The sequence below is a fragment of the Homo sapiens genome, chromosome 2, assembly GCF_000001405.40.
Source record: "Homo sapiens chromosome 2, GRCh38.p14 Primary Assembly".
NCBI classification, from domain to species: Eukaryota; Metazoa; Chordata; class Mammalia; order Primates; family Hominidae; genus Homo; species Homo sapiens.
The window spans coordinates 84513970-84541229 of record NC_000002.12 but is presented as its reverse complement, the minus strand read 5'-3'; the positions used below and the strand labels follow the sequence as shown (position 1 = coordinate 84541229).

Below are 27260 nucleotides of genomic sequence, written 5' to 3'. Positions count from 1 at the left end.
GTGTTTTGCTCTAAATGCTCTGCCTCCAAGTGTTTATCCATTTCAGGAGTTGAACCACGACTCCTATGATGATGACTGCTCCCTCGGCATTTCTTAGCACTCAGGATCAAACTTCAGCTGCCTCCTAGAGAGTGGTTTTGGATGTTTGTTCCACTAAGGCCTTTCTTTGAGGAGATAATCAGAAAAAGTAGGCTTCCTTTAAGAAACAAAAAGAAAACTTTTTAAAAATTCAACTGCTGTGTTATAAAATTCCTACATTTCAGATAAAGAAGATGACTTTAGGATCTAGTTAACTAGAGATCCTTGGATAGTTAACTCATTAGATTGAGATGGAAGTCTCAAATAAAATTATATTTAACTATGCTGTACTGTCTCATACTTGCAAAAAATATATGTAGTGCTTTCTTGCTGTTCAATGAAGATCAAGGGGTCCCTTGTCAAATTATTTTACAGTAGAACCTGTCTGTATCCATCTTAAATGAAACTTAGACTTCAAGACTTCTATTAACTTCTAAAAGTATGTGTGTCCCATTTGAGATAACCACATGAACTGAGAGAATTTTGGGGCCCTTGTGGTAGGTCAATCATTGTCCTATTATTATTAGTCATTTCAGATATAACTCAAAGTGAACCTACTTTGGGGCTTAGAACCCCTCTGGGGTTTAAAAAATTTTTTCTCCTCCTGAAATCAATTCATTGACTTCCAAAACAATAAAACCTCAATGTGATGTTATTTCAAATAGCAGTTCAATCTGTTATACACTGCAGTGATTGAAAATGCTTCTATTCATCCTTAAACCAATCTACCAGACTAATATTGCAGAAACATAGTTTGCCTCATGTGACTGTTGTGCTCAAGAACCTTGAATAGCCTCTTATTGCTCCTGTCATTAAATCCAAGTTATTCTCCCAGGTATTTGTGGCACTCTCTTCCTGTTTCACATTAGTTCCTTCTCTGTCAACACAAATCATCCTCTTCAATCAGGCTGATTTCTTCATCATATTCATTTTAGGCCATGCTTGAATGCATACATCTGTCTTTGTTCCCTGTTACCTCCTGCTTCTTTCAAATTTCTGATATCTACAAGAAAGAGAGTTATTCCTTACCTGCTTTAAGGCTGAATTAGATAAGCTCTTGTGGCCCTATACAACTCTAAGTGGTCTATTTTCATTATTACATGGTTTTAAAGTATTATGATTTGGGTGTATTCATTGAATAAAGGTAAGCAAGCAAGTGCTTGGGAAGAAATAGGCCACTTCCTGAGTTCTGCATTTATCAACCTCAATCTGTTTGATGATGGTCCTTGCCATGACTCAATATGAGACTAGATCTAACCTAACCTGGGGAAGAGAAGTGCTTGCTTTACTTCTGGTTTGATTAACCAAAGATGGCAAAATATCTGGTAAAGAACTCTTTTTTTACCTGGAAAATTAAACAAAAGCAAAACTAAGAGGAAACTTCCAAGTTTCATCACCAGGAGAGTGCTCTATGGTCAATGTTTCTCAATGTATGGTCCTTGGAAGAGCAGCATGAGCACAATGTGGGAATTGCACATTCTCGGGCTCCACCCTAGGCCTGTTAAATCATCTAGGGGTTTAACCATCTGTGTTTTAGCAAGTCTTTTAGGGCTTGAGAAATGCTGCTGTAGGTCCATGATGCATAACTCTAATTGAATCTTAGAATCAACTGGTAAGTTTTAAAGAAAAGCTGTTGCTCAGGCTCCACCACAGACTGATCAGATAAATCATAATTAACTGGAAGTAGAGCCTGGGTGATTCTAATGAGCAGCTAAGGCTAAGAGCTACTGCTCTAGTTTCTTCAGATTTTTGTATGAAATGAAACCATCATCCACTAAATCACCATAGCTCCAGAGCAGTGCCAGGATGTGTGTGCATGTATGTTTGTGTGTGCATGTGTTTGAAGGAAGGGTAGGGAGACAATCTGGAGTCTAGATCTAACTGTATTGGGAAAAAATAGATCTAATGTAAACCAGGGAAGAGAAATGCTTGTTTTATTTCTGGTTTGATTAACCAGAAGGAGGGTTTTTGATTATTCCAAATGAAAATCCAAACGGCCCATAGTGTTTCCACTTGCTGACTCAAATTTGACTTAATAGATTTAAATTTCTTCGTAGATTAGCCTAAGAAAACTGCCACTGTGTTAGACAACCTGGTGAGGTTTTTTTGATAATATGGCTTCAAAATGATCTGTTCCTTATTGCATAATATATATACCTAATTCTAAAGTTTTTTTAAAAATAATTATAACTTCACACATAAACTAGAATGCCTCTACTTCAGAAGGTTTCAAGCTGGCATCTGTGTTTTCTGTTCTTGGCCACTAAATAGTAATATAATTTAAAGGATAAAAGAGCTTTAGTGTGAGATTTTAAAAGCTGCCTAAAAAGTACTTTTAACAAGTTTAGAAACAACCAGAGACCAAAATTAGTTGTTTAGAAGGAACATGTCCTAAGCTTAAAGTAGAAGTTGATATAGTTCTAATATCCCAAGTCATGTACCTGTGTTTCAAAGATTCTAATTGGAATCCTAATCCTAACTACTGACTTAACAAAGTTTCTCAAATTTACATGATCACAGAACACATCTGTTAACCATCTATCAATGAGAATCATTTAGGTCTAATGTTCTTGGAAAGACACATAGGGAAACACTGAGGTATAGGAGACATGGTGTCCTGTTTCATGGCATTCTGTGGACCCAAAAGATGCTCAGATTTGGGGGAAGGCTCCGCCATACAATCTGAACTATCTGTTAGATTTTAATAGCTTTAAACTTGACATTGCACAGAGAATGAAATCATAGAATTGAAAGATGGGAGCATCAGACATTATTCTGAATTTCCTACTGCAAATCACAAAACAATATCAAATAGAAAAGTCTTTAATCTATACCTCAATTTTCTTATCTTTCCACTACATATAATGCCATTCTAATGGGATGTTTATGAGGAAGAAAGAAGATTAATGTACAGAAAGCACTTGGCACAATGCCTAACACAGTGTGTGTGACACAAATGCAGGAGTAGTTGTCATTATGAGGATGAGTATATTAAGTGGCGTGCATGAGGACTTGGGTTCTAAAATCCAAATAATCTGAATCTCAGCTCCATGACTCACTAGCTATGTGAACTTAATTCTGTGACTTTCATCATTTGTAAAATGGGTATATCAATCCTACCTACCTTAAAGAGTTGCTGTGGAGATTAAATGAGCTAATACATATAAAACATTTAGAACAAGATTTGGCATATACTATAGTTGGTGTTAATACTATCATGTTGCAGTACTCACCCATTAACATCACAAAGACTTAGTACCCCACTATGCCTTATAAAAGCACCCACAGTTCCTTATCAGTGTGAGCAAGTTTATATTTCAATGGCCAAAACAAAAAACAGCAAAATGTGAATTTATATAATTGAAATAATGGTGAGGTGAAGGGTTACGTAGATATGAAAAACACCTACCATCTACTAGGGAGAGAACTTTTTAATATCAACAGTGGGTCCTTTTATACCAACCTGAAAAAGGAATACTTAAAAATTGCCTCACCAGGGGTCTTCTTAGATACAACTAAATGTTAAAACTCACAAGACTTTCATATACTTCTATTTGGCATCCATCTACTCAGAAAAACCCGGAACCACTTATTGCCTTCAGGGCAGCATCAGACATTACTTTCCCATTGGAGTCCTTGCAGCAGTCTAATAGCCACCTGGGAGCTATCTTCTCCCTAGGTGTCAACTCAGATGCAAAAAGATGAGATCCACATTGAGTGCATATGAAAGCCACTCTGGCCTAAAAGCCTTATTACTCACAGGAGCCAGCATCTCTTGCAATAACCCCATAAGCATAGATTTCAGCATTCCTACAGGGCACATGCTCAGAAAAAAAGAATCTGAACTATGGGAAGTCAAAAGCTATGACTCCCCATAAGGTATTTATAATTATTTCTTAGTTCCTCCTAATGCAGCTATAATTTACTAATTGATGTCATTTTTATCATAAGCAATGTTGCCTATAAACAATATTTTACGTTTTTTAGGTTATTGAGGGTACACAGCTGCAGGATTAGCCAAAGGTCAGATTCTTATGCAGGAGAAAATCATTCTACAATCCTCTAGCACAATGCTTCTCAAACTTTGAATGTTATAAAACCCATGCAATAATAACATTTTATAAGGCACACTGATATAAACTGCAGGGGCTTGGTGAAGACATTAATTACAATTTCTTTATATAATATGACAAAACACAATGCACATAATATGTGAGATTATATAATTTTTAATTTGGGACATAATTATCCCAAATTAGGGATATAATATTTGATAAAACTTCCAATTATGTCTAGCTCATAAGCAACCACAGCTGTGACCATAACTTTTTTGAAGTAGCTACATCATGTCTAATCAAGACATGATGAATGATCTGTCCAAGTTCTTGAAGTCACCACTCCTAAGAAACTTTGTAAAAGTAGCAGGCAGCAAATGGCAGAAGATGATTTATTTATTGTTTTGTCTCTGACAGATGAAAACTCCCTTTTCGACTAGTCAAAATTTGGATACCTTGTTCTCTTGAAATTATTCACCAAAGGTACCACCACTCTTTAACTCTAACAGTTGTTACTTGTCTTTCTTTGATGCAGTGTTGACATTTCTTGTAATGATTTTAGAAACAATGGTGAAGATTTCTCTCAAACACAGAAGTTATTCTATTTGACTTAATAATCTTTCTTTAGGTTCAAATCCACAGCAGCGTCTAAAAAATCATGAGAACCATTTTAAACATTACGTTTCCCAAGTTGAATTTTTGCTGTCGATTCCTAATCTTTGTCAGTAAGTGTTAATATATTTCCTGGCAGCTGCCGTAATTTTTCAGTTAAGCTATTCAGGTGGTCAAATGTCAATTAAGTAACCCAGGTGTGTAACTAAGAACTAACCTTTACTAAATCTGCAAAGTTGGATCATTTGCAAAATACTTCCCAATTCTTGATAAAACTCATCCTTTGGATTGCCAATGCACTTAACTATGAAACAACGAAAAATAGTATTTGTTCTCAGTTTTTTGTAGAAAGCTAAAAACAAATGGTTATGTGGTTGATAGCTTGGATTTTATCATGGACATCATTTTGACAATATTTTTAAATTTGTAATTCATAATTTTAGGAAACCATTTACATATGGAAGTCCCTCTGCAAATAACATATTACTTGAATACCAGTGCTATCAGAGTAAACCTTGGTTGTAACAAACATTTTTAAGAAGTATTTTCATAATACCTCATTTGCCTTGAATATTTAATCCCCAGAGAGTTCTTTTTTCTTCTTCCTAAACAAAGTTCTTCCAGACATTTCACCTCAGAGACTCTAAATAGTGCTGTTGTCTAGCAGTTACTAATGTCTACAGATTCATCAATATGCAATTAAATATTGCAATAAAACTTTAATAATGTCTTGGATTATGATCATCTATATCATCTAATATGTTGGTCTACTAATGATGTTACTGATTTTTTTTTTTTTTTGCTTTTCTGGTTCCAAGTAGTATAAAAAACTTCCACACAAGCTGGTAAAATCACAATTCTACAATAGTGATTCATTCTGATGTTAGATATTATGTGTTCTTGCACTCCTAGCTTCTTGAGCTTCTTTATCTGATACTAATCTAAAAACAGAAATTTGTTTCATATTTTGTTCTTGTAATGCTTTTAAAAGCTCAAACCCTTTTCTGGGTGGGGTGGATATCTCTGAAAAGGTGTTGAAATAACTTGTTTGACACCACTGGTTAATTTGATAACATTTTTATACAAATAAGATATTTAGGCAAAAGGACAGGTCTATTACTGTAGTTTACAAATCTAAGTTTGAGATAATCCTAATTATGCTGCCTAATTTCTCATCTCTTTTGACTTCTGTGTTTGCCATATAGATCTGATAGTTTTCTAGCTTTAACAGAAAATTTTCCTTATAAATGAGCAAAAAGATAAATAAATGTCAAAATTAAATCCATATTACCATGAAGTATTCAAGAGAATTGTAGACCTTAATATCAGCAAATGATTTAAAATTTTTTAAAAACTCAAGGATGTGGTAAGAAAATATAAAGTATTGGTATATAGGTTTCATTAATTTAAGAAGTAAAATTATAAAATTAAAAAAATAAACATTAATTACACTCATATAGGATCAAAAAGACCTTTGAAAATTACGAAAGCCTACAGTGCTCTTTACCAAGATAATTTTATTAGAATATGTTTTCTAATAAAGAAATGTTATTTCTAATGCTAAATCTGTTATTCTATTTGACTTAATAATCTTTCTTTAGGTTCAAACCCACAACAGTGTCTAAAAAATCATGAGAACCATTTTAAACATTACATTTCCCAAGTTGAATTTGAAAATTAAGCTTTGAAAAATTATTTTTTAAGTTTTAAAAACAATTAATTATGAAATTCAATTAAAATTCAGATTTTTCCCAGTTGGTAACATCAAAAACCAAACAAGAGGAAAAGAGGAAAGAAGGGATAGAAAAAATAATCAGAAACATCTTGTTGCTTATTTTTTTAGGAACACCTAATATTGTGTCAAAAGGAAAACACACAAAAAAAGAGCAAATGAAATTAAAAAAAAACTGAACAAGGATTTCTTTGTGTTTCTCACATACACAAAACAAAGAGTTTTGCTGATAAACTGAGTTTGTCTTAGAAACCTAAAGGAAGTGTTTACAGTAACAATCAAACTCAGTGGGATGGTTCAACAGGAAGGTGGCAGAGGCTGTGTTGTGTTCCCACTATAGAGCTGCTCTCTGGCAGCGGGGACTACACAGTCTTACCCACGGAAATATTTTCTGAATTCAGGAAGTTTGACAAGGTAACCATACAAATATTAGAAAAAGAAAATTTCACCCATGGTAAATTTCTGAGCGATTGTGTTTTTTTTTAAAAAATAAGTTTTTACCACCATAAACAACTAGGGCACACTGGGAGTCACTTGCTTGGCTGCAGTACACTCCTTGGGAAGCTTTGCCTTATAGCTGTGTTAAACATTTAGCATCTGGAACCACTGACTGGGCATTTGATACTCACTCAGACCATCAGTGTTATGTAAATTTTGTGAAGGTCTCATTGCAAATTTTAAAATAATAAATATGTCATAATTTTAAAAAATTAATAAGAAGGTTCTCTTTAGCCATCTGAATGATGGGTAGTGTGAGCCACAGATGAGGGTTCACACACAGCTAGCTCCTTTTCCCCATTGTAATTTTTAAAAAAAATTAAAAGATCTTCAATAACAACCTTAGTTTTTGGAAATGAGACCATGTAACTAGAACTTCTGTCACATAGTTCTGGACCTCTAGACAATCTATGGATCCAGAATTTCTTGATCATTTCACTGGAGTCTGCTTTTAGCACTGAATCAGATGGTAAGCCAATAAGTACATTATGCTATAAAGCTGCAAGGCTGAGTGTTTCAATTTAGAAAATGGAAGTAAACAAATTCTTATCAGCTCTTTGGTTAAATTTGGATTGAAAAGTTATCTCCTCAGGTTTTTGAGTTTAAATATGATTTTTGGATAGATATGCCCACTAATACATGATCAATTATTTTCCTCCAACTAGTAAAATCATAAGATGCTGGAAAGAGCCAAATCCGTCCTAAGGTACATTCGCCATATACACTATAATTCAGTCAGCCTAAAATTCCAATATTGTATTCTTATCTTCAAAGTATTTTGGCACCAAAGTGATAACGCTGTCTACTCAAAATATTGAACATATCTCTAAGACATGACCCTTGAGCAAGCCCCCTAAAATCATAGAAATGGTCTTTATTAGTAATATTAGTTTCACAAAATGTTCTAAATCTTACTCTTCATTTCCTGCATATTTCATGATTGAAATAAAATCTTTTACTTGTTATTTCACTGTATGACCATGGAAAAGTGCACAGTTAGTATCCTTGATTTGAGGAGATCCACAATTTTCACTCTCTGTCAATGCTAAGTCAAAAAATGAGGTTTACTGTTGGATGTGAATGTTGTCTCTGAGCAGGGCAAAGCCTTTCTTGCTGCACACACAGCTAAGTGCTCAGACACTACTGATTCCTACATGCCTTTTGCAGTCTAAATCCCTGCTCACAACTAAATGAAAAAACTCTTCTATAGGTTTTTAGTGACAATTGGAAAAAAAATTGTCAAGCATATTTTTCTCATACGTGTACTGTATATACAGCAAACACTGATATCTGCATTGCACATTTGTGATTAAAGCAAAATACCTGTCAGCACACTTTATAATGATGTGCATAGAGTTAGTTAATAAGGGAATTTTGCAAATAACTTATAACTTATTCTATTTTCTCTCTAAGCATACCTTGCCATAGGTGCTTCATCAATAGCATGACATATCATTTTTAAAAGTTTTTTGCTATAAGAAGTGCAACTTTAAATGATTTCCATAGTTTAGATCTCAATTTCACCTTTATTCAGTTCTATACTGAGAAGCATTATTTTGCATTTTGCTCACGTATTTTTTCTGGAAAAATTCAATAGGCTTATCAGAGAGATAGATTATTGCTCTAGATTGAAAGATTATAAAAAAATCCTTCCACAGCTTCACCACATTTGTTGGGTAGTGAAGACATTCTTCAACAGCAAACTCACAGCCTTACAGTTATTTTATCACATTACTTTTAAAAGGAGTTTGGTAATAACATGACCTCATCTTGTTGACACAGTATATACTATGTTTAACTTCCAGTTTAGCTGCTGCCAACTCCATAGCATCCAAATAATTGTCTTTACTCACAAGGTTTATGATATTTGGAGTTCAAGTTAGGGAGGAAGATTCAACATCAAACCCTAAACTGCAATAATGATAACAAACCATGATTCCAAAATATCTTTTTAAATGAGAACTTACATATTACTATTAAGCGTCACTTCTGTGAGTCCAAAAAAGTATAAAACATCAACTCAATTTCCCTAGTAGAAGTGCTCATTAGTCTAGAAATAAATCTCCAGAACTGAACAAAAGCAGTTTTCAGTCTCCTCTTCAATACTTTATATTGTGCTGGTAAATAGATGAGAATCAGTTCTACATGGGGCAAAATCTGGCTCTTCTCACAGTGGAAAATGAGCATCACAAATAGTACTCTTTGATATCTGGGTTATTAGATGATTATTTTTTTCCTGAAGAGAAAACTATGAAAACATTTTCACATATGAATCAAGAATTATGTTTTAAAATCACCAAATAACCCACTTTCCATCAGTTTCCACTTAAGATCTACAAGTTCTTCACCAAAAACTTACAAAGAACTATACAAGCGAGTAAAGTAGTGGTAGGAATGACAATATTATTAAGGGTTTTTTTTAATTGAAGGGCTTTAAATTACATTATATGTTAATTCTTCCATCTTAAAAAAATGAATTCTCTCATGTTGGAAAAATCCTCTTTTTTTACCCCAATTCTCCTTCGTCTACCATCTCTTCTCCTTTTGACATCCCAAAATTAATGTATCCGAACCCAAACATGTATTTTTCCCTGATGATTCTGCTCCATTCAGTCTTCTATGTCTCAGTTGTAAAAGGAAAATAAGGGAGGCCGAGGCGGGCGGATCACGAGGTCAGGAGATCGAGACCATCCTGGCTAACACGGTGAAACCCCGTCTCTACTAAAAATACAAAAAATTAGCCGGGCGTGGTAGCGGGCGCCTGTAGTCCCAGCTACTCGGGAGGCTGAGGCAGGAGAATGGCGTGAACCCGGGAGGCGGAGCTTGCAGTGAGCCGAGATCGCGCCACTGCACTCCAGCCTGGGCGACAGAGCGAGACTCCGTCTCAAAAAAAAAAAAAATAAAAAAAAATAAAAAATAAAAAAAAAAAGGAAAATAAATCTTGAGGCCCCCAAATCACTAAACGAAAGGTAAATGTCAAGCTGGGAACTGCTAATGGCAAACCTGCCTCCCATTCTATTCAAAGTGACCCCTGTGCTCACTGGGATAAATGCATATCTCATTGCCTCATTTGGAAAGGCTAATCAGAAACTCAAAGGAATGTCTCTCATCTACCTATGACCTGGAAGCCCCCTCCTCGCTTTGAGTTTTTCCATCTTGGCCTTGAGTTTTCCCACTTCTCCAGACTGAACCCATGTACATCTTACACATATTAATTGATGTCTCGTGTCTTCCTAAAATGTATAAAGCCAAGCTGTGCCCGTACTACCTTGGGCACATGTCATCAGGACCTCCTGAGGCTGTGTCATGGGCGTGCCTCCATGATCTTGGCAAAATAAGCTTTCTAAATTAACTGAGAACTGTCTCAGATTTTCAGGGTTCACAGTCAATAGCAACTCTACCCCTCTTGCTCAGACAACTGGATCATTAAACTCATCCTGTACTCCTTTCTGGTTGTCTACCCTACACAATGTCTGTAAAGACATTCCGTTGGCTTCACCTTCAAATTGTTTTCAGAAGCAGACCTATTTCTTACCACTTCATCATCATCCCCAGTCCCTTTCTCCCCTGAGTAACTACGGCCTTCAATTTGTCTTCCTGTTTCAACCCTTGTTGCCTCAAAGCCTATTCTTCACACAGCAGCCAGAATGTTTCCTTAAAAAATGTAAATCAGATCGTGACACTTTTCTGCCCAAAATCCTTCCATGGTTCTCCATTGTTGTAGCCAACAAGGTCTTGCACGATATATCCTTTATCTCTTGTTCACTCTACTGTAGTCACACCAGCCTCCTCTTTGCCCTTTGAGCATGCCAGGTCTGCTCCCAGTTCAGGATGTTTGTATTCATTTTCCTGCTGCCTGGAATGCTCATAACTGCACCACCACATAATTCATTTATTCTCTTTCAAGTCCTTGTTCAAATGACAGCTTCTCAATGAGGCCCACTCTGACCACCCCAGTTAATTCACAACCTCTTCCCCAGCACTCCTAATCCTCTTTGCCTCTATTTTTTTCCTCCAATACTTATCACATTTTAGTATTCTGCATAATTTACTCATGTCTGGTTTATTATTGCCATCCTCTGCTAAAATGTCAGTTCCATGAGGGCAACAATTTTGATATGGATGGTTTACTAATGTGTCTCAAGCACGTAAAACAGTTCCTGCTACAGAGATCATGCTCAATAAATTTTGCTGAACGATTGCATTTTCATAAGCATTTCTGTCCTTCCTACAAGTTATTGTTCACTGCTGTTAAGCTCTTTAAGATTTACAACACATCTGTCATTTTAAATTTTGATTAAAAAGCTTTTCTTCTCTACCCATTTTCTGCAGCAGGAGAGCTGCCCTCAGTGTCATCTTCTCAGTTGAAACTATGGTGCTGAATAAGGGAGAATAAGAGAGCCATGAATGGGGAAGGTAGCTCAATGAATTTTGTGGTGAAGCTAAACTATTATCACCATCAAGAAAAGACCATCTCAAGAACTGCTGTCAGCCCAACTAAATAACAGAGGAAAGCCAGTATCATCTTTAAGTCCTACTATTATCTGTTGTGCTGAACTTCAAAGCAACTTGCAGACTCACAATTATGTGACTTCCAATTATATCAACAACAAATGTGCGGCAACAACACACAGAAAGTGTGTGGATATTATTCATTTATATGAATACCCTAAGTTATCAAGCTCATTTTATTAAAAAAATCCTTATTTCTACTCTATAAAGCAAAGGTGAAATAACATGAAAAACAAATCGTGCATCATCTGCTTTTTATATGTTGCCATCCTCTTTTCTCAGTAATCATAAAGTATCAAAAATACATATGTAATACTGATTAAAAATATATGGTATAACATTACATAAATATATGAGAAGCTCAGTAGTGCAGGTAAGATAGTTAATGTTTCTAAATAGATAAAGGGAAGATAAATGAAAAAATACAAAATTGTTGTGATTAGGATTCATTTATCATTGAATGATAACCAAAATTATATTTGATATTGTTATTATTAATATCCAATCAATTATAAATAATATGTGAAATCTTATTTGTAATTTTTATGTTAAATTGCATCATAAAAAATAACTCACTTTAGATTATATGTATCATATTCAATGGATGATCTTGGCACTGCAGGGATCATATAAAGAAATCCAAGATGTTCATTTTCACGTATTATTTTAATGATTTGCAAGGGATCACGAATGTTGGCTTTAACAACTTCTTCTCGGTCGTGAAAAGTGTACTTAGGGTAAGCTGAAGATCTAGTCCCAAAGAGACCTCTTTTTCCAATACCAGTATGTGGCAGTTTAGGAGGAGAGGGAGAGAACACCTCAACATAGGGCCGATGAATCTAAACAAAGCCAATTTTTGAAAAAAAAAAATGAGTCTTTGCACACATACACACAAGAGCAACAAAATATTACCTTCAAGGACTAATTGCCATATTGCATGAGATGTCTAGGGCTCAAAGGCAAGCATTTTGGCACTGAAAATTTTCAAACTATTGTTAGGCAGTCATATTCCTTCTCAGTACTCCCTATCCAGATACGCATCCTTTTACCACAAAGCAGTCCCAGTTTCAGCTTCCATTGCCTTCTCCTCTCCTTTAACTCAATGTTTATTACATCAAAATATTACCAGGTCTTTGATGTCCATGGGAGCCCTCTTCCCTCCTTGCTTAGTTACTCTGCATCTATCTTTTCTGGGACCTCTCCTCCCAACCTCCCCCTCTGTTCTGACCACCTTGATGCTCTTCAGTGAGTGGAGTCTTGGACAGCTGTTATTGTAACTCATAATAACTTTACTTCTTTGTGAATATGAGGGGCGGTTATATTGAGTGTTGGGAATCACTATGCGATAGCCTTAGAGAAGCATTGATTTTATCAACTAATATCGGCTGTTTTTTAGACCAGTGCTTCTCAAACTTTAAATGTGCAATGAATTACCAGAGTTTCTTATTAAAATGCAAATTTTGATTCAGTACAGCTAGGGTGGAACCTGAGATTCTGCCTTTCTAACCTGCTTTCAGGGGTTTGGATCCTGCTGACCATGGACTACACTTGGAGCAGCAAGGCTGAGTCCCACTGTGCCATGCCCACACACTCCAGCTTTGCTCTAGTCTCTGGGCTTCACTGTCTGTGCTCTCAGTGCCACTCACACCCCCCAAAAAACTTGGGTGGCATCACCCATATCTGTTCCTCCCATGGAGGAGGTTAATCACTGTGTTTGAAGAAATTTGACACTAACTCCAAAGGTCATCACCTTGCCTCTCTGATAGTATAGGAGTAACTGGCTTTAAGATAAGAGTCACCATAGTAGAACTGCTTTGTTGAATAACTATTGTAAATATACGCATGAGTATTTTATTGCCTATTAACATAGCTGGCAGAGGCTGCCATTTCTGCAGGGATGTATTACTACAAGCTCTGTGGAACAACTTCTCCAGAAAATTTGTACTCACAGGGAACATTATACCCCAACTCTGATTAAATATACTTTGTCCAATAGCAGTTTGACAACACCTAGCAAGTTCAGAGCTGAAGGAAACACATCTTTGAACGTAAAAGGTAAAATGTGTGTCTTTGACTTCTTGGCCAGGGATGGCAGCAATAACACTGTTCTCTTCTGAGAATGAATAGGCCAAACCTGAACCAGAGAAAACACACATCACCTTATCTCAATGTTTCAATGAGGGCTAGTCCACTTTAGTATTTTTATGAGACTAAAGTGTTACTGTTTTAACAGAAAATGCATTTATTTTATTTGTTCTAGTCTTTAAAAAGTCTTACTGCATTCTAAGTGGAAGACTTCTTCCATAACAGGGTTAGATATTTTCCTCTGAGCCCTAATTTCTCATTATGTAACTCAGTGGGAAAATGTGATTCACATTTTCCTCCCATGGAGGAGGTTAATCACTGTGTTCTGCTGTGTTCTTCAGCAGTAACATAGGTTCAGATTTGGGGGTGGGAAATAAAGAAAGCATTTATTCATAAACTGTACAATGCAGTACTCCTCCCTGATGGATGCCCCGTCTGATTCGATAAGTCAATTTCTTCCTTAATTAACAGAGGCCTCCAACTTTCCTTCCTGCCTGCCTTCCTTTACCTCCCAGGAAATCCTCCTTGTTGCATTTCTATTTGAAACTCATTCAGATAAATCAATATCTGAAAAAATTACCTTTTTCTCAGAATAAATACCTTTCTTATTTTATGTAAAACATCCCATTTTTCATATTTCTCTTTAATTCCTAACTCTTTACTGAGTTCTTCACTGAGTGACAGCTACAACCAGGAAGCATAGCTCACAACCTAATATTCCTTTTCAGCCCCACTTTTATCCCAGATGTCTATACACGTTCTCTCCTTTTCTTTAAATTCAAATTTTTGAAGCCCTCTTTATGCCAAATGAATTAATTTACAGGCAATTAAATCTTTCCTGGCTCAGATCTTTTCTGGAGAAAGAGCTCCCTCTGGCTCCACTTCACAGACACCATAGTAACTGAAGCTTTATAATTCCATCTAGTTCATCATATGATTTCATTCTTTCAGGATGATCTCACCCAAACCCAAAATAAGCTCCTGTCCATCTAGCTTCTCCTAGAGCTCCCACCTCTCTCATCTTATCTATCCCATTAACTTTCCACTCATTCTTCTCAGCTTAGTGCAACTCCCAAAGGTGGCTTTTTATTCACTGACTGGCCCCCCGATGGCCAGGTGTAAAAGTCCCTTTTATTTAGTTTTTCATTATTTTGTACCTTAAACAACTAAGGAGAGCTCTTATACCCCACTGTGCTGAGTGTTCACTTGTCCACCTACGTACCTCCAGACTCTGAAATCCTTGAGGACAGACCTTGTCCTCAACTGTGCACGTCTAGCAGTTCTAATCCAATGGTTGGACCCAAACCAGCACTCAGTGTGTGACTGTCAAAGTTATCCTCTCAACCAAAACCTCAGAGAAATCTTGGCTCTACTGGTATCTTTACTGTAGGTATGCCTTTCATATTTTCTCCCCTTATTGTTTTTTTTTCTTCAGTTATCTAGAGATATTCATTTAAAGGCAAGCTCTGGTGATTTCTTCCCTGAGCTACCATTTCTTTATGCCTTTCAAGGCAACTTCCTCGCTCTACAACTCTCACCAGCTACACAAATTGTCTTGCTAGCTGGCTTTGTCTCACTTTATTGCTCTTCACCAGGGTCTTCAAAGATTACCATTTTTGGTAAAAATGATGAAAATTTCAAAAAAGTTATAATAACATTCAAAATACTATTATATCTTCTTTATCATACAAAAGAAGGTCAGAAGGCACTGTACAGATGGTGAAAGTTTCCTTTATGATTTTCTTCCACTGTAAGAGTTTTCCTTAAATAGGATGAAGAAATGTTATATTTCCCAAACTCATTATGCAACCTTATAGAAAATGACTTTGCTTCTATTCTTATGAGTTAAAAGTATGCTAGCAATGCTATACAAAACAAAATTAAGTTAAAAGAATCAATTAAGTATTTTAATATTATACCTGCATTTTTTTCACAGCATCTTGATGCTCAAGAAACTGAGTAGATGATGTGGCAAAACTTTTTTTTGCTATGCTTACTGGACGTTTAATGATTCCTGCAGTCATTAACTGAAATCGGTTCTGTTCATGTATGTATTCTGGCTGCTTATGATCTTGGTAGACTTTTAGCACTGGCTTTGGGAAATAGAGAGACATGTTAATTTTTATTAACATTCGTATAAACTTGTTTTATTTTTCACTACCTTTGGACTCTTTCTCCTGTTGGAAATTGATCTCCTTGGACTAATTTCCTATCAAAGATGCAGTCCTAATAGTTAACTACCACCATTGCCTGTCCCTGGCCTATTGCTTGAGTAAGACTTTTCTACCTAGCTTCCATTAATTTTATACTTGAAATTATCAATGAATACTTAGAAGAATAAATTACAACAGAAAAGGCTCAGAAGTATGAAATCATATACTCCCTAATTATCCATTACAAACCCCCATCATTTACTAATACTGCTACTATGGGAAGAAGTGCAGAATTCTCCCACCAAAATCAAAATCATCAACCACTTCTCATAGCCATAACTTATTGAAGATCTAAAAAAAATAGGTGGCATTATCTTAGGCTATTCAACTGAAAATTATGGCAATAAAACCCCAGCTTTTAACATAATAAAGTGAAGAATTCATTATAATGGCTTTTTGTTACTAAGCATTATGAGTTTATCATAATTGCTAGTCTCTCATATACTGGGATAAGAAAAAAAGGCTTGAGATTAAGTAAAGGAAACAGCAGTTAACTTTTCAGTTACATTGCACTTGTTTTTAGATAAAAATCCCTTTTGAGCCACTCACTGAAGAAAGGAAAAGGCTAGCTGTTGCTACAAAGATGAAGGAGAGCTAAGTTATGTAATAGTGCTAAATAGGAATAGAGAACAGGATCACAAGTTGAGAACAAGAAGAAAAAATGTCTGTTTACACAGGGTGACTTCACAGAGACCAAACAATGATCTATAAAAATGATGTTAAGATTAATGCACATTTGGAAAACCCTTCTCTAAAACCTACTGAAATTAATAAGGAAAACAAATATGCAGATGTTGAGGGATTTCATTACCACCAGATCTGCCTTACAAGAGATCTTGAAGAAAGGCACTAAATACAAAAAGAAAAGTCTATTACCAGCCAATACAAAAACACACTTAAGTATATAGACCAGTGACACTTTAAAGCAACCACACAAACAAGCCAGTGTAATAAACAGCTAACAACACAATGACAGGACTAAATCCACACATATCAACACTAACCTTGAATGTAAATGGGCTAAATAACCTGTTTGGCAAGTTGGATTAAAAAAACAAGACCCAATGATATGCTGTCTTAAAGAGACCCATCTCACATGCAGTAACACCCAGGGACTCAAGAAAAGGGATGGAGGAAAATCTACCAAGCAAATGGGAAACAGAAAAAAGCAGGGGTTGCAATCCTAATTTCAGACAAAACAGACTTTAAACCAGCAAAAATTAAAAAAAAAAAAGACAAAAAAGGGCATTACATAATGGTGAAGGGTTCAATTCAAGAAGACCTAACTATCCTAAATATATATGCATGCAACACAGGAGCACCCAGATTCACAAAGCAAGTTCTTAGAGACCTACAAAGTGACTTAGCTCCCAAAGAACAATAGTTGGAGACTTCAACACTCCATTGACAGTATTAGACAGATCATCAAGTCAGAAAATTAACACAGATATTAAGGACCTGAACTCAACATTGAACCAAATGAATATGATAGACCTCTACAGAACTCTCCACCCCAAAACAGCAGAATATACATTCTTCTCATTGCCACATCTTCTAAAGTCAACCACATGATCAGACATAAAACAATCCTCAGTAAATGCAAAAGAACTGAAATTATACCAAACACACTCTTAGACCACAGTGCAATAAAAACAGAAATCAAGACTACTAAAATTGCTCAAAACTATGCAATTACATGGAAAATAAACAACCTGCTCCTGAAAGAATTTTGGGTAAATAATGAAGTTAAGGCAGAAATTAAAAAGTTATTTGAAACTAATAAGAACAAAGATACAACATACTAGAATCTCTGGGACACAGTTAAGGCAGTGTTAAGAGGGAAATTTATAGCACTAAATGCCCATATAAAAAATTAGAAAGATCTCAAATTAACAACCTCCAATCACAACTTAAAGAACTAGAAAAGTGACAGCAAACCAACCCCAAAGTAGCAGAAGACAAGAAAGAACCAAAATCAGAGCAGAACTGAAGGATATTGAGAAATAAAAAAAATGGAAAAGATCAAAAAATCCAGGAGTTGGTTTTTTGAAGACATTAATAAGACAGATAGGCCATTAATAGCTAGATTAATAAAGAAGGAAAGAGAAAAGATCCAAATAAACACATTCAGAAATGACAAAAGGGATATTATTGCTTACCCCACAGAAATACAAATAACCACAAGTGATTACTATGAATACCATATGCACATAAACTAGAAAACCTAGAGGGGATGGATAAATTCCTGGACACATACACCCTCCCAAGATTGAACCAGGAAGAAACTGATTCTCTGAACAGACCAATAATGAGCTCCGAACTCAAGTCAGTAATAAATAGCCTAGCAATGACCAGATGGATTCACAGCCAAATTCTACCAGATATGCAAAGAAGAGCTGGTACCATTCCTACTGAAACTATTCTAAAAAAAATGAGGAAGGGGGACTCTTCCCTAACTCATTTTATGAGGCCAGCATCATCCTGATGTGAAAACTTGCCAGAGACACACACACACAAAAGAAAACTTCAGGCCAACATCCTTGACAAACATTGATGCAAGAATCCTCAACAAAATGCTTGCAAATCGAATCCAGAAGCACATAAAAAACTAATCCATCATGATCAATTAGGCTTTATCCCTGAGATGCAAGTTTGTTTCAACATATGCAAATCAATAAATGTGATTCATCACAGAAACAGAACTAAAGACAAAAAAAACATGATTATCTCACCAGATCCAGAAAAAGCTTTTGATAGAATACAATATTCCTTCATGTTGAACACTCAATAAACTAGGTATCAAAGAAACATACCTCAAAATAACAGCCATATATTACTCACAGCCAACATCACACTCAATTGTTAAAAGCTGGAAGCATTCCTCTTGAAAACCGGCACAAGATAAGGATGCCCTCTCTCACCACTCCTATTCTACATAGTATTGGAAGTCCTGTCCAGAGCAATCAGGCAAGAGAAAGAAATAAGGGGCATCAAAATAGGAAGAGAGGAAGTCAAACTATCCCTGTTTGCAGATGACATGATTCTATATCTAGAAAACCCCATAGTCTGCCCAAAAGCTTCTTCAGCTGATAAACAATTTCAGCAAAGTTTCAAGATACAAAAATTAATGTACCAAAATTACTAGCATTCCTGTACACCAACAGCAGTCAAGCCAAGAGCCAAATAAGAAACCCAATCCGATTCACAATTGCCATAAAAAAGACTAAAATACCTAGGAATATTTTAACCAGGGAGGTGTAAGTTCTCTACAATGAAAATTACAAAGCACTGCTCAAAGGAATCAGAGATGACACAAACAAATGAAAAAACATTCCATGCTCTCCGTGATAGGAAGAATCAGTATCATTACAATCGCCATACTGTGCAAAGCAATTTACAGATATAAGGCTATTCCTATCAAACACAAATGACATTCTTCACAGAACTAGAAAAAACTATCTTAAAATTCATATGGAACCAAAAAGGAGGCTGAATAGCCAAGGCAATCCCAAGCATAAAGAAGAACACTGGAGGCATCATGTTACCTGACTTCAAACTATACTACAGGGCTACAGTAACCAAAACAACATGGTACTGGTACAAAAACAGACATGTAGACCAACAGAACAGAATAAAGAGCCCAAAAATAAGGCCGCACATGTACAACCATGTCATCTTTGACAAAGCTGACAAAAACAAGCAATAGAGAAAGGACTCCCTATTCAATAAATGGTACTGGGATAACTGGCTACCCATATGCAGAAGATTAAAAATGGACCCTTTCCTTACACCATATACAAAAATTAACTCAAGATGGATTAAAGACATAAATGTAAAACCCCAAACTATAAAACCCCTGGAAGACAACGTAGGCAATACCATTCTGAACGTAGGAATTGGCAAAGATTTCATGACAAAGATACCAAAAGCAATTGCAACAAAATCAAAAATTGACAAATGGGATCTAATTAAACTTAAGAACTTCTGCATAGCTAAAGAAACTATCAACAGAGTGAAAAAACAACCTACAGAATGGAAGAAAATATTTGTAAGCTATGCATCTTTGAAGGTCTAATATCCAGAATCTACAAGAAACAAACAAATCTACAAAAAAACCCACAAACAAACCCATTAAAAAGTGGGCAAAGGACATGAACAGACACTTTTCAAAAAAAGACATAGACATAGCGAACAAGCATATGAAAAAAAGCTCAATATCACTGGTCATTAGAGAAACGCAAATCAAAACCACAATGAGATACCATCTCATACCAGTCAGAATGGCTATTACTGAAAAATTAAAAAAAATAGAAAAGTAAATTATGGAATATTCATACAATCAGATACTATGCCACCATTAAGTGTAAAAAGCTAGATGGAGAGTATTGTATTTATTTGTAATATGACAAATAATAAAAAAATTAAAATAAAAAATAACAACCATTGTGGAAAGTAGCATGGTGACTCCCCAAATAGCTAAAAGCAGAACTCCCATTCGAGCCAGTAATCCCACTACTGGGTATATACCCAAAGGAATATAAATTGATCTATCATAATGACATATGCATGTGTATGTTCATTGCAGCACTATTCACAATAGCAAAGACATGGAATCAGTCTAAATGCCCATTATTGGTAGACTGGATAAAGAAAATGTGGTATATATACACCATGAAATACTACACAGCCATAAAAAAGAACAAGATCATGTTCCTCAGAGGAACATGGATGGAGCTTGAGGTCATCATCCTTGGCAACAGAAAACCAAATATCACATTTTCTCACTTATAAGTGAAAACCAAATGATGACAACACATGAACAAAAAGAGAGGTACAAGAGACCCTGGAGTCTACTTGAGGGAGGAGGGTGTGAGGAGGGAGAGGAACAGAAAAAAACAACTATTGTGTACTACACTTAGTACCTGAGAGATGAAATAATCTGTGCAACAAACCCCCATGACCTCAGTTTACCTATGTAACAAATCTGTACATATACCCCTGAATCTAAAATAAACGTTAAAAAAGTTACACATAAAAACACTAGCTGCATCCTGTGTGAAGGTGCAGTTTCACCTATGCAGATCAGGCAACAAAAAGTTGGAAGAGATTATAGTATAACTTAGGTTAAGGGTGAAAATGCAATTTAATTTAGGCAACATGTGTACATTGGATTGAGAAACTGGTTTCCAGGTAAAATATGTGTGAATTAAGTAAAATTGTATGTTAAATATAATTATATGGAAATTAATATACAATTAAATACAATTATACATATATGTAACTTTTTCATCAACTCCACAACACCACTCACAGGGCCCTGTCTCATAGGAATATAAGCACCAATACAAAAGGATAATACAATTTTACTGTACCATTTGAAATACTGGCAAAACAACTTGAATGTCTCAAAAGAGGAGAATGATTTAGTAAATTATGGAATGTTCATACAATCAGATACTATGCCACCACTAAGTGTAAAAAGCTAGATGGAGAGTATTGTATTTATTTGTAATATTTTCATGAAAATATTACAAATACACACAATTACAAATTGTAAGTTTCATACATTTGTAAAATTACAAAATTACAAATAAATTTGTATAAAATTGTTTCAGCATGGACAAAGGCAAGAAAAGACATATACTAGATGTCATCAATGTTAGATGGCATAGAAAAGGGGGTCAGAGATTGGGGAATTTGGAGGTAAGGAAAAAATGTAAAAGAAGAAGAGTAGAAAAGAAAGAGAGTAGGAGAAGGAGGGGTAAGGGAAGAGAGAGAGGAGGAAGAAAAGAAGAAGGAAGAGGAGGGGAAAGAAGGGGGGAAGAGGAGAATAGGAAGAAGAAGGGGAAGGGAAAGGGAGAGGAGAAGGCAGTTGAGGGGAGGGAAGTCAATAACAAAAATACATTCTTACCAACTCTATAAAAAGAAGTCAAACTGCAGACACCCACAGGTGTGAAATTAGTCACTAGACTATTAAGCTACTTTCTCTCTGCATGGTGAAACTTCAGGTCATTTTCACTTTTTTCCTTGTTATTTTTTAATATTGTATGAATTATTTTATTCATGTATTATTTATACTGTGCAAGTTATGTTAGTATATAACATACTGCCTCAAACTTAGTAACTTAAAAACTAACATTTATTTTGCTAAAAATTCTGTAATTTAGGCAGAGCTCAGTGGGGACAGCATCAATGCCTCAGCTGGTGCCCAGTGGAGTAGAGGCAAGCTGTCCCCACTGAGCTCTGCCTAAATTGCAGATATCTGTCAGTTGATACAGGCTGTTGGCTGAGACTTGTTCAGATAAAATCTCCTCAGAGAGACCTTTCTAGTCACCCAATCTAAAGCAGTCTCTTCTGAGTCTCTACCATAGTCCATGTGCTCTTTTCTTTTCTTTTTTTAGAGATAGGATCTCACTCTGTCACCCAGGCTGGAGTGCAGTGGTATAAGCACAGCTTACTGCAGCCTCTACCTCCTGGGCTCAATGACCCTCTCCCTTTGCCTCCCAAAGTGCTAAGATTACAGGCATGAGCCCATGCGTTTGGCTTATTTTTTAAATAGTTACTATCACTAGGTGAAATTGTTCAGTCTGCTTATTTAGAATTACTAGAATGTCAACAGGAATCTTGTCTGCTTTGTTCATTTTTGTTCATTTATATTTGTTTATTTTGTTCATTTATATTTGTTCATTTGCTTTGTTCATTCCTCAGAGCATGGCTCAAACCCTGGCACAGAGTACGCACATAACAAACTTTTAATATACATGAGTAGATGGCATTGGTGACAAATTAAACAACTTTAATCATCAACGGTTAGTGATACACTTTTGTCAAGTGAAGGCAAATACGTCAGAGAGAAATAGATGTAGCTAACGTCTAATGGTGGAGAGGACAACTTTTACTTTTTAATTTTTTCGCTTTCACTGCTCTTTACATGCGTTTATAATTATCCAAGGGCATAAATGGTTTCTAAAAATTAAGTATTTTCAACATGCACACAATTTTTTAAATACAAAGGCATGTACTTTGAAAATAATAAAACTATATAACTAAATATAACATTTGCTAAACTTCTCAGTGTTAAATGGTACCCTAATATCTAAAAGTGCCTAATAGCATACATAGTTAAGTATCTGTATTGTACATAATCCTAGAGAGGACTTATCTGCCTGAAAACTTTGTTCACCACTGTATCCTTCAACTTAAACAGTGCCTAGAACTTAATATTTGTTTAATAAATATTTACCGTATTTACAACTACATAAGCAGTTATTATCTTTTAGCTTTTCATTCCTTCTTTGTCAGTTCAGAGTCTGGACATGACTTCTATCCTCCAAAGCAATTTTACAACTTCCTCTGTGGCTACAGAGGCTAAAACAATGGTTTTTGAACTTACCAAAGGCTCTAGTTTTATAGGCTGCTGTCGTTTTCTTGTCTTCTCCTGAGCTTTTGTAATGTGCCTAAACGTTAGGATTTGTGTATCAGATTCATTTTCTGTGGATGTCACATAACTCACTCTTTGTTTGGCTTTTATATTATTCAGTCTTGAAAGTGCAGAATTTTCGGCATACTCTTCAATATTTGTCAGGTCAAATTCACTATCTGTGGCCCGAAAAGTCATCCTTACTCCTGAAAAGAATAGGTGAGGAAAAAGAAAATGAAAAGTAGATCAAAAGGATTGGGGAAGGAGGCTACTGGAGAGGGACTTAAGGACTAGGAAGAGTTGAATTCGCTCACTTCCCTCAAATAAAACCCATCAAAGTTACCCCAGTCTTCCCGAACTGAGGACTTGAACCAAAGGAATAAAAAATTAGAAACTGTGCCTAGGCTTCAAGAACCCCTGTAGCTAGGGTGGAACCCAGGAATTTGCATTTCTTGCAAGTTCTTGGCGGATGCTGCTGCTGCTGCTCATCTGGAGACCACACTGGTCTAGATTTGGAAGGACAAAAGGAAATGTAATTAGTATTGAGATCAATGTTTCTCATCTCCTGCGGAACTTGTTCAAAATGCAGCTAATTCTAGTACACGCAGTCTGAAAAATACAGTATAGGTACTCAAGAAGAAACAAAGGGAAAAAAAAGAATTGAGGGCTAATTTCTTACACAGTGCTTCTGGAGCTTTAACGTGCAGGACAATCACTTGCAGAGCTTGTTAAAATGAAGGTTCTGATTCATACACTTTGAGTAGCAAGGTCCTAAAACACTAGAAATATGAGCCTTTTGTAATGGTCTTGCACTCTGCACCACCACGCACACTTTCACCCCATTAGATGAGTGGAGATACTTCGAAACACCTTCCAAAATAGGGTTAGCACAAGAGGTCTTGAATCAGGTGTCGGCAGACCTAGGTTTTATATAGATCAGTGCTGGCCAATAGAAATATGAGAGCTTTGTATGCAATTTTAATTTTCAAGCAATAGCATTTTTAAAAAAGAAATAGGTGAGATTAATTTTAATAATATGTTTTATTTACCATATACAAAACATAATCATTTGAACACACAGTATAAAAATTATAGTGATATCTTATGTTGTCTTTTGGTACCACGCCTTCAAAATCCAGTGTGCTTTTTACATATGAGCACATTGCAATTCAGACTAGCCACACGAGGTCTAAAGATTACCGTATTTAACAGCGCAGGTCCAGATTTGACCACTCAGCGTGAGATCTTGGACAAGTCTTTTGATATCGCTATTGCTCACTTTCCACCCCTCTAAAATGATGGGCGGATAGCAGACAATCACTGAAATGCCTTTCCATTGATTTTCTCTGCCTCTTTGAGCCTTTATGTTCTCCGAAAGTCAGACTTTGTTTCTGGCCCAGAAATCGGAGCCCAGGCCCGAGGGTCGGTTCCCAGGACTCACCAAGTCAAAATACAGCAACCACCGCCGAGGGTCTCCAGAGAGAGCAATGCCTGGTCGGGAGTAGAAAGTACTCGGTAGCGCGGAATGTTTCCTGTTGCTGCGTAGCAACCAGCTGGCCTCTACGGAAGCACTGCGCCACTGAGTAACACGTCGCCAGGCAACGCCTCAACCAGCCACAGCTTTCGGTCCAGGAGCGCGCCAGGCAATCGAGCCAATTAGTGTCTCCGAAACATTTCCTACTTCGCTGATTGTTGGAGAAGCCGCACAGCCTGGTTCCTCCTCTGCGCTGGGAATTGAGTACTGTGCCAGGAGGTGTAGGCAGAGCAGCCAAAGGAGGTGGTTAATTCTGTTTGCTTCGTTGCTTATCGACCACTCACACCCATCTCAACCTCTTACAGGAATTTCTTTTCTGTTTTCCTTCAAGAGGCGTAAGACTGACTTGACGTTCACTTTAATAGAAATTTATCCGAAAGAGTCGAGAATTTCAGGAGAGGAATGTGGGTTGTGTAGACAAATGAGGTCCCACTCTCCAAGGAAGCAACCACTCTGCATCCCTGCCCTACCCGCCAACCTCCTCCCGAGTGTCTTAAGGCTCAAGAAATGTGGCCTCCTCTTCCCTTAAACTCCACTGTGGCCTTCCAACTAATGTCCTTTTCCACTTGGAAGGTAACCTAGGTGTCAGGCATAGGATGAGCCCGTATTACTTGGTTCCCGTGCCCCTTCTACCAAAGCAGACCCTGGATCTTATTCTGGCGTTTAATCTCACTTAAGTTCCCAAGTGACTGTTGCTAATTTTGTATGGAGCGACCCCATCGAAGGCCAGGGCCTGTTGCTTACTCGGGATGCCTTATCCCAGTTACTGATCAGGGGAAGAAATCCTTTCACCTGTCTTGATGAATCCTTACACCACATGGAGGAGCTCTGGTTTTCAACCTTGTCTCCAAAATGACATAATCATCATTTTCTTTTGCTCTTTTCGGTTGCTCTTTGTTACCTTGATATTTGTTTCTTGCTCTATGTGAAGTTCTTTACATTATTGTACTCACAGCCTGCATCTTCTCAATCTTAACATATTCAGTTATGTATTTGATATGGTAGTATGATTCTCTAAATCACAGATAGAGCTAAAATGGAGATTACAGGTCACATAGTCCAACTCCCCTATTTGATTTGTAAGGGAACTGAAGCCCAGAGAAAGCAAGTGCTTTACTCCAGGTCAGGCAGCTAGTTGTGCCACAGACAAAACTAGAATGCAGATCTCCCAATCCCTAATGAGAAACTGGAAACAGCAAGAGAGTAAAGTCAGTTTAGAAAAAATTTTAAAAATTCTGAAAAACTTCAAATGTAGACAAAATAAAGATTAATTCCCCAGAGATGAAAAATACACACAAAACTAGTCAGCTAGTAAAATGCAATCATTGATATAAACTAATAATGGAAAAAGAAATTCAAAGCCAACTCAGTACATCGAAGCATAAAGTTATAATAACAAGCAATGTTAGACACATCCTCAGAATAGATTTCATTTCAGATGTGCAGTGAAAATTTTAATCTGTTCCCTTCAAAGTTTATGCAATGGAGACAAATCTATTGCTCCTCAATCCTAGACTCCCTTTTTTAGATTAAGGTGGATTGTACACAACTGTTACCATGTGCAGCTGAAAGCATTCCAAAAGCTAAGAAGTGTGTGTGTGTGTGTGTGTGTGTGTGTGTGTGACTGTGGTGAAGTGGGGGTGGGAGGATTGGAAGACACAGACATAGTTTTACAAAGATATTACTATATGAAACACTACTCATCAAATCTCTCCAAGCTTATTTTTTAATGTGGCAAGATGTTATCTTCATTATCAACTGACCACTTACTAAATCAATGTAGCAGCTTTGTGTATAGCCTGCTATTTTTATAGTTCTTATAGATAATTGTTACATTTCATTGGTTGTTTCTTATGTGCCAAGTACTGTGCTTTATATTTCCCATTCATTTTCTTAAGTACTGCTAACAAACATGAAATTCCCATTTCACAGCTAAAGAAGTAGGTTACAAATGGTTACTCACAAGTTCACATCTTTAATAGTAAAAGGAAATGCAGTTAAAATTTTTTTAGCATTAGGTTAAGATTTATATACCAGGCCATTTGTGATGGGTGCTATTCCACTAATCATTGCAATAACCTTATGTTAGAGGTATTATTATACCTATTCCACAGATAGGAAATTGAGGCTTAAAGAGGTTGTGTGACTTTCCCAAGTCACTTCAGAGGTAGTAAGTGGCAGAGCTGAGATACAAATCCAGATCCATCAACTTAAATTTCTATATGAATTTGAGCCCAAGATTATTGAATCATAGAATTCTGCTTCTGGATATATAGTGGAGTATAGCAGGGCTCACAGAAATAAGGGAATCCTCAAGTGTCAAAATAATAATCAGATGAAACCAGAGCAATAAATAACATGGAAGCTGTGGGTGCTGTGGGTACAAATGCCTATACAAAGAACATATAGCTTCAGGGATTAATGCTGAGGAGAAATGGAAGACTAGGCCTTGCTTGAGTCTACACAAAATGGAAGAGCAAACTACAGTTGCCACACACATCTGAGACTGTTGGAAGAATTA

General features: G+C 36.3%; 1 protein-coding gene across 13 annotated transcripts in view; it reads right to left on the bottom strand.

The window, feature by feature from the left end:
- Window positions 1-27260, bottom strand: part of DNAH6 (dynein axonemal heavy chain 6) — a 360018-nt gene that overhangs the window by 278360 nt on the left and 54398 nt on the right. For 6 of the 13 annotated variants that reach the window (NM_001370.2, XM_011532653.2, XM_011532652.2 and 3 more), the window contains exons 1-4: window positions 24647-24732; window positions 23179-23411; window positions 15492-15665; window positions 12064-12326 (exon numbers count right to left, since the gene is read on the bottom strand). In NM_001370.2, the coding sequence (NP_001361.1) occupies window positions 12064-12326; window positions 15492-15665; window positions 23179-23403 (662 nt within the window). In that variant the 5' untranslated portion in view covers window positions 23404-23411; window positions 24647-24732. Of the gene's footprint in view, window positions 1-12063; window positions 12327-13436; window positions 13622-15491; window positions 15666-23178; window positions 23412-24405; window positions 24733-27260 lie in introns of those variants that run through there. The other 7 variants (XM_011532650.4, XM_011532649.3, XM_006711956.3 and 4 more) reach the window with 6 other exon arrangements.